We start from the raw sequence: 13,950 nt of genomic DNA, 5'->3' as shown, positions 1-13,950 counted from the left end.
TCTCATGTGCTACTGAAAAATGAGACTAGAAGGGGACTTTGAAGTCATTTTCTTTAATTTTCCAAGCTCATAGATAAAAAAAACAGGCCCAGAGAAACTGTATGACTACTGCATGCAATTATGAATCTACTGCCTTTCGACGTCATTACTACTTTTCATCTCTCCTCCTCCTCTTTTATTAAACCTTATTAAAGAGTTTAATATAAATAAATATCTATCACTCATAATTCTAAGCCACAGGTCAAAGAATGGCCTCAGGAAAGCACTATCTTTTCATTCTCATTTTCCCCTACCAAGAGTAGCAGTATGAGTAATGGAGGACAGTGAATATTCTGAACACTATATTTACCTTCAAACCAATTCAAGCACAGCTCAGTGCTCCCAAACTACTCAACAACCTGAAAAGACTGACTTCATTTTCCAGGACAAGCAGTATGTTTTAAAGAAAGAAATATAACTCATGTTCATTTGTCCTACAATACAGAGTTCACACTACAGAAAGGAAGTTAACATTTATGCAGCACATAATCAAGAGTAATCTTAATTATTAAAATGAAGTTATTTCAGTCACAGTATTATATTTAGCAAACAGCAATGAGCATCACTCAGGTCTGACTTACTCCAAAGGCACGCTTTTAGTTACTGATACCAAGTGTCACAGAAAAGCACAATCAACTAAATATACTTGATAATCTACAGAGACAGAAAACTGTACTTGTAGTATGTTTGCAAACAAACCTGAAGTCTCCTTCAAACTAGGTATCCTAAGTGCCCTATAACAAAGTGCAAAGGCTGGTGCCATGACTCACACCTGTAACCCCAGCACTTTGGGAAGCTGAGGCAGGAGGACCACTTGAGGCCAGGAGCTCAAGACCAGAGTGGGCAACATAGCAAGATCCCATCTCTACTAAAAAAAATTTAAATTAGTTGGGTGTGGTGGTGTGCACCTGTAGTCCTAGCTACTCGGTTGGATCACTTGAGCCCAGGAGCTTGAGGCAATAATGAGCTGTGATCGTGCCACTGTGCTCCAGCCTGGGCCACAGAGCAAGAACCTGTCTCTAAAATAAATAAATTAAACAAACAAACAAACAATGTGCATGACTGTTTGCCAAGGGTGGGGCCCTCAAGTGGCAGAAGGTCAAAGTGGGGACAGGGAAGAGATGGTAGAATCAAGCTGATACTATCACTATTAAATTACTAACACTGCTTTAATTTGCACCTCCTACTATATTTACATTATAAAATGAAAGTACGGTAATAATGACACCGTACGTTTATACACAAAATGTGCTAAACTATCTAGGGGTGTGATCTACTAGTGTTCCTACCTTTTCCTTCCTTTCTCCAGCTTCACAGCCATGACTAATAAATGGCAGAGACAGAACAGCACACAACTTCAAACTGCTATTGAGAGAATAGAGCAATCAGTTCCATCCCTGTATTTTCTTAGTTTCCCCTGTAATCTAGACAACAGTAGACCATGTAAATGTATCACTGTCTACACTTGGCTTTAAATGGAATTTTTCCCCAGTTACTAAATTTTGAGGTGTAATATTCCAAGCTACTTAAGCAAATTATTTATAAAAGGAAAGAGTGTTTAGTTTCTTAATCAGAAAAGTTTAAATGCACTAAATTCATGCATCCAACTTCCCTACCTTTATTAGGTAAATATAAAGTTTTTTTGTTTTGTTTTGTTTTGTTTTTGAGACGGAGTCTCACTCTGTCACCCATGCTGGAGTCCAGTGGTGCTATCTCAGCTCACAGCAACCTCCGCCTCCCAGGTTCAAGCGATTCTTCTGCCTCAGCCTCCCGAGTAGCTGGGACTACTGGTGCATGCCCCCACACCCAGCTAATTTTTGTATTTTTAGTAGAGACAGGGTTTCACCATATTGGCCAGGCTGGTCTCGAACTTCTGACCTTGTGATCCACCCACCTCAGCCTCCCAAAGTGCTGGGATTACAGGCATAAGCCACCACGCCCGGCCAATATAAAGGTTTTTAAAACAAGTAAACCACGGTTCAACAAGCTTATTTGAGTCTGGCCTCTAAAAAACTAGTTGGGAGTCAATGCTCATTAGAAAATGAAGTGGAGCCATTTTTATCCAAGGGCAGGAAAGAAAACAAAAAAGCCAATGTTTTACAGTGTCAAAGTTGAAAGAAAGAAACAAATATACACAAATGTTACCAATCCTCACATACTTCCTCCTTCTGGGCTTGTTTTGTCATAAGATGTGCTTAATCTTTTTCATTTTCTTAACACTTATTCAATCTATACTCAAAAATGTAGGTACAAAGCTATTTTTGCATGTGAGTTACAGGGAATGGCTATATATGCTTGTACATATTTAGGAAATAAAACCAAATAAACAGCATGATGACTATTTGGAGACATAATATTAATTAGCTTTAGATATATCTAAGTCTTGAGTAATTTTTCTTCCAGGAACTAGGGACATATACACTTGAAAACTTGACTAAAATAACAGTATGATGGAAGTAGTTGTACTTTTAAACCTATTCTAAATGTGCTCAAAATGGGTGTCACAAGTAACACCCAGGAAGAGAAAACCATACTGTTTTAGTCAATGATTCTAATAGAGAGAAATCAGTATTATTCACCACAAATGGGTCAATTAAAAAGACTCCCTAGGTAAATAAATTTCCGTTTCACAGTAACAGCCCGTGTTTAACTTGTTTTTTCCTCTGTGGGGCACATGCTAGCCCACTTTGGAAATTATTAGGCTTCAGTATTAAGTAATGAAGGAGCTGCTCAACGGCTGGACTTGTAAGCGTCGCTCTGGGCCTGCCCCCTACTTTGCATCAATTATGAAAAGCAGGATCCCTAATGGCTTTGAGTGGCTCTGCCTTAGTGGGGAGTTGCCAGGCTGTCAGTGCTCTGTAAGACTCACTGTATTTTCTTTTAAGAGAAAGATTTTATTTGATTACCAAAACAATAATGCTCATTTTAACAAAGTGAGTCCAACTATAGAAGCACATAAAAAGTTAACAGTCTCTCCCACTTCATTTCAAATCCTACCCTCCTGAGATAAGCAGTGTCAATAGTTTGGTTTATATCCTTCCAAAGCTTTTCCTCCTTACAGCTGCATAAATAGGAGATAGCCCCCTCCACATTTTTTTGAATCAGATTATACCACATATATTTTTTCTGCAAATTGTTTACTCACCCAATACAAACAAATCATCTTATTGAGTCAGTACATAAAAACCTAACTCAATCTTTTTGACAGCTGCATAATACACAGAGTACAAATGAACCATAATGTATTCCATTCCTCCGCTGATTGACATTAGGAGTACTCTCAGTTTTTCTGCTGTTACAATTCTGCAAGAAACATCCACTGATGTATCTGGTTGTGTATTAATGATTTTACTTTACAGTACTTATTGGTGCCTAATAGGCCTTATCCTTAATTCTGAAATCCAAGAGACTCTGAAAATTCAAAGATTTTTAATTGACTCATGTGATGGCAAAAGCTGATCTGAACTGATGTGAATATTCATTTGATCTCTCTAGAAATATGAATGTGTCTACTTATGGGGTGCTCTCTTAAACCCTGCTGGAGGTGTTACATAATGTACAGTATATGCACCATGTTATCTCCATTTAATCTGAAAACACAATTGTCCTCAAGAGTTTTAATAAGGGACTGTGAATCTATACTTCTAAAAGTATAACTGATGGCCCCAAGAGTATGTACAGTTTAAATATGTACTACAAAACTACAAAAAAAAGTTACAGAAATTCATACTCCCATTCAGTCATGTAAGAGAGGGTCCCTTTCCCCATGCTAGCATTTAATGTTAGCATCTTTTCAACTGTTGCCAATCTAATGGGCAAAAATTACATAGGTCATTTCAATTTTTATTTTGCAGTAAAGTTGAGCTGCTTTTTGCAAAGAAGAAAATGGTAATTGCAAATCTTCTTTGAGATACACATTCATATCCTTTGCCCACTTTTCTAATGGACTATTCACCTGCCACTTAGTTTGCAGGCATTCCCTGAATACCACCTGCCGTGTACTGTCAAATGCTACAAACACGCCCTCCCAGCCTGCTGTCTGGTGTTTCCCACTCTGTTCATGGTGACTTTTGCCACACACTAATTTTTAATTTTTATTTGCTCATATTTGGCAATCTCTTCCTTTATGGGATCCCTGTTTTTAATTTTGCTTGAGAAGGTCCTCTCACTCCACCCAAAGTGGTACAGATGTTCTCTTAATGTTTCCTTCTAACATGTATATATATTTTATTTTTTACATTTGGATCCTAATTCCACCTGACATGTTTTACAAGAAATGTTAGATGGAGGGCCAACTATTTTCTTTCTGGTACCTAGCTATGTTACCAACATTTATTAAATAAGTCATCCTTTCTTTTTTTCTTTTTTTTTTTTTTTTAAGATGTGGTCTTGCTCTCTCAAAAATAAATAAATACATAAATAGATAAAATCAACCTTATCCATTCAATTTAAATAAATTTTATATACTAGGGGAAGGGAGAACAAAAAGAGAAAGCTTAATGCTTTTCCAATAAAATAGAAAAGCTTGGGTAAAATGAGTTACACTTACTTCATGTTTCTCTTTACTTTTTTCTAAAAGAATTTATAAAACCAAGCACATGTTGTTGTTCTTAAGAGCACACCTTGTGGTTTTGAGACCATTAAAGTTTGACAGAGTAACTTTTCTTTTTTATCTTTAGAAGAAATAATCTTGGGAAGTGTATCAAAGTACTTTTAAAAATGTGTATTGAATATACTTGCTCTTTAGAAACTATAGTTAAGTGAATGGCCGGGCGCGGTGGCTCATGCCTGTAATCCCAGCACTTTGGGAGGCCGAGGCAGGCAGATCACGAGGTCAGGAGATTGAGACCATGGTGAAACCCCGTCTCTACTAAAAATACAAAAAAAAATTATCCAGGCGCGGTGGCGGGCGCCTGTAGTCCCAGCTACTCGGGAGGCTGAGGCAGGAGAATGGCGTGAACCTGGGAGGCAGAGCTTGCAGTGAGCTGAGATCACGCCACTGCACTCCAGCCTGGGTGACAGAGCAAGACACCATCTCAAAAAAAAAAAAAAAATAGTTAAGTGAATGAATGAGAGACACAGACCCCCAGTAAGCAACTTCCTTTTCCATGAACTCCTCAAATTCCAATTCCTTTCGTGTGGTGCTTCTTTGGCTTGGTAAGTTTGTCCTACAGTCATGTGTTAATATTCTTGTCCCAATCCAACTATGATATAGGGCAACCTGCATGTGCCATAATAGTTACATAAGGAAGCCAAATAATTTCTAAAATGCATGAGAGAGGCTGTCTTTCCTGGATGAGGAAAGGAAGGAACACCTTTTGCCCCATGTTCCTTTCGGACTCATCTGTGGTGGCAATGGCATGAGAAACATTTGGCTCATTGTGCCTGCTTCAGAATTGCTGGGAACACCCACCCTTCAGAAGGCATGACTCAACTCCTTTTGGCTTTCACACTGTTGTCCACACCCCCAAACTCCATTGGCCTGTAACTGAACTCTCACATCTTCTCAGTTTCTTGGTACAGTGCTTTTCCTGTCGTCCCTATATGACTTCTAAAATGAATCCACATGAACTTACGTATGCCCTTCTGTTCCAAGGGCCAAGGAGTCCACCAGCCTTGTTCCCAGTGAGCACCTGCCATCATCTGGGAGGCTTAGCAGTGCACGGATGCTAATGTGGCATGCAACCAGCTTGTCAACACTTGAGCCAAAATAAACAAATCATCCTATCTGAATCCTAGTCACCATAAATGCCTCCTGGTACAAGTAAAATAAACATATCACCTTTTCATATAACTAGAAAACAAAAATAAGCACATGCATATTTTACTTAGGTAAAAATTAAAATTTACAGTCATGAAAGAATTTTATAATTTTTTTAAGAACTGCTACAGATGTTGAAAATCAGAATAAATTTACCAAAGCTAAAACTCATAATTTTTCAAAAGTAATAATCAAAGAAATAAAGAATTCTCAGTGTTGACAATAATTTCCATGGACATTTTGCTGTAAAGGCAAATTAAAGTATTCCCTAAAGAGAAAAATTCTTTAATTAAAAAAAACCCTTTATTATTTATTTTTTAAAGTGATGAGGTATCACTGTCACCCAGGCTAGAGTGCAGTGGTGTGATCATAGCTCACTGCAGCCTTGACCTTCTTGGCTCAAGCAATTCCCACGCATCAGTGTCCACAGTACATGGGACTACTACAACCAGCCCTAAAGAGAAAACTCATCTTAATTCCTCTTTTAAAATAATTCAAACAAACAAACAAAAAAATAATAATTAAAGTAATTCAAACAAGAGGTACTTACTGGTTACTATGTGCCAAACCTTAGGCTGGGTTAATCCTATGGATACAATAACAAATAAGGCACAGCTCCTGCCTATGGTGGAGAGGGAGGTACGCAGTGGAAGGCTCCATGAGTCCAGTAAGTAAATTACATAGAGAACCACTCTAGATCATAAGATGGTAATTACGTGAAAACAGCAGCCGCTAGATCTATAGTAAGCCTGAACTAACTAAATTCAGGAAAACAATGAGTCATAAGCTGCATAAATTTGTCATTTTGATTCTTTAATAAATTAGCAATATAAGAATCAAAAACCAAGAAATATGTTATCACATTACACTTAAACATATCTGTTTTGAGATGGTTTCTTTACTCAATTTATCCATGACTACATTTTTTTTTCATTTTCTCACCAACATATCTGCCCATAGTTAGCCCATTAATTGCCAATGATATTCAAGAGATGTTTAATATTAACCGCCACACTAGGACAAATAAAAATATTACAATAACAAAACAAAACAAAAAAATTCCTTAAAAAGGCAGAAAATGGATCACTATTTCTGCTCCTCTTCTCAAACCAAAGGAGAGAAGATTCACAAGTATACTTGGATAAAATCCCACTCAAGTCACATAAAGATATATAAAAAGGAAAACCAAATAGCATCTATATCAAGGATATTGGATTACCAAACAAATGAGAAAGTGCGCATAAGCAAAAGTCAGTGAGAATAATTAGGTCATAAAAATGTCCTTAGACAGTAGCCTAAACACCATATAACAAATAGGCTAAGCATATCTCACAGCTAAATGGGGAAAAAAAAAAAACCCTAACACCCAAAAGTTTCCTAGGTATAATAAAAGTCTGATGCTAGGGTTGAACCATTATTCACTAAACATTTCTTGAGTTCTTACTATGCACAAAGGTGCTGGAAGTATACAAATGTGATTTAGACATGGTTTTCACCCTCCAGGAACTTGAAACAATTTGAGAACAAAGCTCTTATAAAATAAAGCAGAAGGTGAAAACTGAAAACTTACTGGCGGCATTGGGGGGTGGGGGGAGGAAGTACCATGAGTGTTTACAAAAGTGAAAACTTTTACCTAAGGAACATGAGTAGGAGTTCAATAGACAGAGGGGGACTGGAAGACAGACCATTTAAAAAGAATCGTATGGTATGGCTATTTCTCAAACTTCAGCATGCAATGTTATAATGCAGATTCTTGGGCCCCATCACTGTAAGTTCTGATTCAGGTCTGGGATGAAAAACAGGCATCTGTGTTTCTAGTTATCTTAGTCTATTTTGTGTTGCTATAACAGAATACCAGCTGGGCACAGTGGCTCACGCCTGTAATCCCAGTACTTTGGGAGGCCAAGGTGGGCAGATCACGAGGTCAGGAGATCGAGACCATCCTGACTAACACGGTGAACCCTGTCTACTAAAAATACAAACAATTAGCCCAGCGTGGTGGCACACGCCTGTAATCCAAGCTACTCAGGAGGCGGAGGTGGGAGAATCGCTTGAACCCAGGAGGCGGAGGTTGCAGTGAGCCGAGATCACACCACTGCACTCCAGCCTGGGTGACAGAGTAAGACTCTGACACACACACACACACACACACACACACATATCCAGAATACCATTGGGTAATTTATAAAGAAAAAATTGATTTCTCACAGTTCTGAAGGTTGGGAAGTCCAATTTCAAGATGCTGGCATCTGTTGAGGGCCTTCTTGCTGTGTCATCCCATGGCAGAAGAGCAGTAAGAGCAAGAGAGCAAACTCACAGCCTCAGGCCCTTTGATAATGGGCATTAATACATTCATGAAGGTAGAGCCCTCATGGCCTAATCACCTCTTTAAAGTCCCACCTCTTAATACTGTTGCATGGGGGATTATGTTTCCAACACATCAACTTTGGAGGACACATTCAAACCATAGCACCAATAAACACTACAGGTGATTCTGATGTAGGCATTTCATGAATCATTTTGTGAAACACTGATTTGGAAAGCAAAAACTACAAGGTAATTGGGAAACATTAAGTAGACCAAATTATTAAGGAGAAAGAAGCCCTGTGGTTGTAAAGAATGCTTAAAGTCTAATCACAGAGCATGTCAAGAAGACACTGGTATTTGCCTATGAAAAACTTTGAATTGAATGAAATAGTACATCTGAACATGCACATATTTATCACATGTATCAGATAATATCTCCCCTTTGTTGCACTTCCAGACACACACACACACACACACAATATGAGGAGTATAAATATGCATTCTGACAAAGTTTAAAATTAGGGGAAAAAAACAGCTATTTAGAAAGTCAGCCTTTCCCCAAGGTTTTCTTATTAATTATACGTCCAAAAGACATCACCAGGGAGGAATGGGTGTGCCCTGCTTTTACAGAGGTCACTGTCAAATATCCTGCCAGTTCTGGTGTCATCATCCTCACCACTCCAGAGAAATGACAAGAGGAATGTGACTCCTCCCATTCAAAGCTCCATTAGTTTAGAGCATGGTGAGTGACATCAAAATTACAGCCACTAAATAAAAACAGACATTTTCATGGGTCCTTAGTTTTCAAAACTGACATGCGTGTGTTGTCTGAATGAGCTCCAGAATTAGATGTGTTTATTTGACATGAAGTAGCAGAGAGAGGGAGGAGAGGAGTATTGGTCTCCATCAGCATTCTCATACCGGCAACCAAAGAATTATTTCAGAAGTCATCAGCAAAGATGTTAATTATGTTCCCAAGTCCCAAGTTATGATGACACTTCACCATCAACAAAATAAGCATCAGTTTGGTCCTTTTACTCTATACTTATTACTATGCACTAGGAGCTGTGCAGAGTAAAGTTGATTACCACTCAGAATAGCAAATATCTACAAATACAGTGTTGGCATTAAACTCTTGCAGTTAAGTTAAAGCTCAGAGAATACGGCAAAGAGCTCCACAGAGCTCAAAGAATGGAAGTGGACAGAATACAATAACTGAATTGGAATCAAGCCAAGGCTTTTGAAGATACCAGCCTCTCTCCCTTCTATTTAAGTGGGAATAAATGTTAAAGAACATCTTAAACTATCCCAAAAAGTCAACAGGGCAAACTAATTTAATATAGCCTGGCTGATATTTTGTTTCTGAGCTCCGTCTTCAAAATGTACTATATGAGGGAATAAGAAAATGGGCCATCATTGCCATAAATTAGGTCGGCAGCATTAGGCAAGAAGAGAACCAAAGGCTATATAATCACGGAGCCCCAAGCACCACCTGCCGGCTCTGCTTTGCTCAAATTCTCTGGGAAGGAAAATGGGAATCTTGTGAAATGGAAAGCTTCCCAAGAGGATCACAATTCCATCTGAAAAGCAAAGCTGTATAAGAAAGGAACTTCCAGTTCTGGGAACAGTTAACTGACAAAAAGACATTCCATACATTCCATGAAATTCCTTTAACATTTGGCAAGCCTCATGGAACCCTGGTAGTGGAAATTCCTTCCCAAGGTTATCTCTAACCCTGAGCAGCATTTGTGCTGTTTTTCTTTTACATAGGCTTTACTCTTTCTTCAGCAGTCTGCAGCTGGCTTGCCTCTAACGTTTTTTATACAGCAGTGTCTTCAAAGAAGCTGAAATTGTTCTAAGCGCTGCTGTTTAAATCGATCAAATGAACTGCAAAAATGTTTTAGCATGCCACTCTTTATTTCACTATGCTAATGAATTATCACTATTTCCATTAAAAGAAGTCTTCATGAATTATGTATAAAAACAAAAACTAAAATCTTTCAATAAAACCTGGAAATGTGGGCTTTTGGTAATGATAAGTAATTAACATTAATCACTTTACATCTGGAATGCCAACATCCCCAAAAGAGCAGAAGAGCAGAATAGGAAATAAGGTCATTTGTTTTCTACTCCAAGGGAACCAAAAATGTAGAAATTTGAGCTTTCTAAGAAGAGAGGTACTTGATAAATGCCATGCATAATTAGGAGTTTCTCATCGCTCATTTCTTCATACTTTCATTCTATTATGCCCACATCCTTGCACGCCCAACTCCATTCACTCTTTCCCTCTTTCTCGCATGAGAGGACCTGCCCCTCCATCTCTCCATTTTCAGCTAAACCAAATTTCACATCTAATCAGAGCTCAAATCAAGTCTTTCCTCCAAGTGTTGAATTCACTCCCCTCTTGACCCAAGTCATCTTTACTTATTTCAGGTGAAAACTTACTCAATTTATACCACAGCCTCTAAGACACAATCACACAAGCCTGAGTTCCTTGAAACTGATATGTAGGTGCCACATAATGCAATGTGGTTGATCAATAATCATTCTAAGTGACTGATGTCCCCTTAAAATAGTCACCTTGAATACTAAATACAAGAAATGGTTCCGCTGCTCAAAGCATTTCTAAATGTTCTCTTCCTAAAGTTTTATGATCACATTATTTTGATTATCCTTGGTGGTGGGAAAACCAACAATTCAGTTCAGTGAGTATTTATTAAGGACTTTACAGTAGATGGCAATTTTAGAAATTTTTAGATGCTTACTATAAAAGGATTGATAAGTACAAAAAATATTTAAAAAGTGAACAATTCAGAAGAGCAAAAGGTCACATGGAATTGAGAAGTAACTAAAAGCTTCAAGGAAAAAATGCCATTACAAATACACTTTGAAGGGTGGGGTAGGAGTCGCTAGGTTGAGCCTGGGTTCGGCAGGTGGTCAAAGGTAAAAGTTGGGGCACATTCTTGCAAGATGAGTGGCAAGAGAATGTGAAGTGAGTTTAGAGAATGGTAAAATAAACCATAGATTTTTTTTTAGAAGTCCAGTTTCATACGGTCCATTTTAAAACTAGTATCTCCTTTTCCAACTTCAAATCCTCTCTTACATTTTTCTACGTAAGGTTTTCTGAATCATCTCACTGTGCATATTGTCTTTTATCATACTTTCAACCAAAGAGAAATACAATGATAAATTACCAGTCTCACTTCCTTCTAAAAGTTGCTACAGGCCGGGCACAGTGGCTCACACCTGTAATCCCAGCACTTTGGGAGGCTGAGGCAGGCAGATCATCTCAGGTCAGGAGTTCGAGACCAGCCTGGCCAACATGGTGAAACCCCGTCTTTACTAAAAATACAAAAATTAGCCGGATGTGGTGGCGGGCACCTGTAATCCCAGCTACTCAGGAGGCTGAGGCAGGAGAATCACTTGAACGCAGGAGGCACAGGTTGCAGTGAGCTGAAATCGTGTCACTGCACTCCAACCTCGGGGGGAGGATAGAGTGAGACTCTGATCTCAAAAAACAAAATTAAAAAAAAAAAAGTTGCTACAAATACCTTTTGCAAAGAAGTTGCTACAAATACCTTTTGCGAAGAATACATAAAATTGAATGAATAAAGGCACTTCCCCCACCATTCACTCAAGAGTGCGTTCATTTATGGAGTATCTATTTAATGCTCACCTAGCAACAGTAATGACCTCTGAGGGGGACTTGATTCCTGCCCTCTCAGAATGCAAAGCCAAGCAGAGCACACAAGATAAATATAGAAAACAAAGGTGATAAAAGTTAAGGCCATACTGCTATTCCCATGAGTCACAGTATCTTTACAAAAACAGGCTTAACTATTACACAGAATTTTATAAAACTGTCAGGGGACAATAGTAACACACAATGGCAAAATTCAATATCCAAAGGAGAATGTTAAGAAAAACAAAAACGCTGGTGGTATACTTTTTTTTGTCCTATTTCCATATCATATATGATAAAAATCACATTAAGAATTCTATAGGCCGGACGTGGTGCCTCATGCCTGTAATCCCAGCACTTCAGGAGGCCGAGGTGGGCAGATAATGAGGTCAGGAGACTGAGACCATCCTGGCTAACACAGTGAAACTCCATCTCTACTAAAAATACAAAAAATTAGCCAGGAGTGGTGGCACGCACCTATAGTCCCAGCTACTCGGGAGGCTGAGGCATGAGAATCGCTTGAACCCGGGAGGCGGAAGTTGCAGTGAGCCAAGATCGCGCCACTGTACTCCAGCCTGAGTGGCAGAGCGAGACTCCGTCTCAAATATAATAATCATAATCATAATCATAATAATTCTACAGATACATAGCAGGTCCTCGAACAATGTCATTTCATTCAATGTCATTTAGCTATAATGTTAATGAGGAAAAAAATCAATTCCTGGTGAGGATCGCTGTCTGTGTGAAGTTTGCCCATTCTCCTCCGTCTGTGTGGTTTTCTTGGGGTACTCACTTCCTCCCACATCCTAAAGCTGTGCACATTACGTTCACCAGTGTGTCCACATGGCAAGTGAGAGAGACAGAGAGAGACAGAGAGCGAGAGTGTGTGTGTGTGTGTGTGTGTGTGTGTGTGTGTGCGCGCGTGCGTGCGCGCCCTGTGATGGGATGCTGTCCTACCCAGGGCTGGTTCCTGTCTGGCACTCTTAGCTGCCGGGAGAAGCTCCAGCCACCAGCAACCTGAACTGGAAAAACTTGGTAAATAATTGCCCTTTTTTGTTTGTTTTTTGAGATGGAGTCTTGCTCTGTCACCCAGGCTGGAGTGCAGTGGCGCAATCTCAGCTCACTGCAACCTCTGTCTCCCAGGGTCAGGCGATTCTCATGCCTCAGCCTCCCAAATACCTGGGATTACAGGTGCGCACCACCATGCCCGGCTAAGTTTGTGTATTTTTAGTAGAGATAGGGTTTCAACATGTTGGTCAGGCTGGTCGCAAACTCCTGACCTCAGGTAATCTACCTGCCTTGGCCTCCCAAAGTGCTGGGATTACAGGCGTGAGTCACCTCAACCGGCCTATATCTTACTTGTTTTTATTAATCTTTTTTTTTTTTTTTTGAGACAGAGTTTCGTTCTGATTGCTCAGGCTGGAGTGCAATGGCGTGATCTCGGCTCACCACAAACTCCACCTCTCGGGTTGAAGCGATTCTCCTGTCTCAGCCTCACGAGTAGCTGGGATTACAGGCATGCACCACCACGGCCCAGCTAATTTTTGTATTTTTAGTAGAGACGGGGTTTCACTGTGTTGGTCAGGCTGGTCTTGAACTGCTGATCTCGTGATCCACCTGCCTTGGCCCCCCAAAGTGCTGGGATTACAAGCGTGAGCCACCGCATCCGGCCCTTTATTTATCTTTCTTAAGTATATGCATAGCTCATATTTATTTCAATGCTTAATATTAAAAGCGTTTTGATCTTTATTTAGTAGTTTCGTGGTGTTGTAACCAGAAACATGCCCTAAGAACTTAACTCTTGTTTATATCAATTAACCTATGGTAAAACTGGTTTCATTACATATGAAATTAAATGAGGAGTTACTGTACATGATTTATCAAGTCATTTAAAATACCAACTTCTACTGAAATTATAGTGCTAGCCCTATAAAAGTAATTCCATTTCTAGAACCAGCTAGGACCTTCTAGCTGTGCTAGTTTTGTTTCTCTATACCAATTTACTTACAAACAGCAAAAGCCAGAAAGATCCATCTGGATCCACTTCCTTTATTAATGGAAGCGATAACCACCAACCATAAACAAACAATTGAAACATTATAATAAATTTCTATTTATGAAGTAGTTATTTTATAATTTGTCTAATTTCCACACATAGAAT

The 13,950-nt window shown here is 39.1% G+C and overlaps 1 protein-coding gene across 1 annotated transcript in view, besides 3 other annotated features; it reads right to left on the bottom strand.

Moving 5' to 3' along the window:
- PHLPP1 (PH domain and leucine rich repeat protein phosphatase 1) overlaps window positions 1-13,950 on the bottom strand; it is a 264,893-nt gene that overhangs the window by 93,070 nt on the left and 157,873 nt on the right. The gene's annotated exons all lie outside the window — the stretch shown is intronic.
- Window positions 7,341-7,840: an enhancer, noted in NCBI's record as "H3K27ac hESC enhancer chr18:60546757-60547256 (GRCh37/hg19 assembly coordinates)". NCBI's record gives its function as "activates a minimal SCP1, AML or CMV promoter by ChIP-STARR-seq in naive H9 embryonic stem cells {active_cell/tissue: H9 hESC(naive)}" and the evidence as "EXISTENCE:reporter gene assay evidence [ECO:0000049][PMID:30033119]".
- Window positions 7,841-8,342: an enhancer, noted in NCBI's record as "H3K27ac hESC enhancer chr18:60546255-60546756 (GRCh37/hg19 assembly coordinates)". NCBI's record gives its function as "activates a minimal SCP1, AML or CMV promoter by ChIP-STARR-seq in naive H9 embryonic stem cells {active_cell/tissue: H9 hESC(naive)}" and the evidence as "EXISTENCE:reporter gene assay evidence [ECO:0000049][PMID:30033119]".
- Window positions 9,242-9,742: an enhancer, noted in NCBI's record as "OCT4-NANOG-H3K27ac hESC enhancer chr18:60544855-60545355 (GRCh37/hg19 assembly coordinates)". NCBI's record gives its function as "activates a minimal SCP1, AML or CMV promoter by ChIP-STARR-seq in primed H9 embryonic stem cells {active_cell/tissue: H9 hESC(primed)}" and the evidence as "EXISTENCE:reporter gene assay evidence [ECO:0000049][PMID:30033119]".

This window comes from Homo sapiens, chromosome 18 (genome assembly GCF_000001405.40).
Source record: "Homo sapiens chromosome 18, GRCh38.p14 Primary Assembly".
In the NCBI taxonomy this organism is placed as follows: domain Eukaryota; kingdom Metazoa; phylum Chordata; class Mammalia; order Primates; family Hominidae; genus Homo; species Homo sapiens.
Note: the sequence above shows the minus strand (reverse complement) of the source record. Positions and strands in the feature narration are given on the sequence as shown.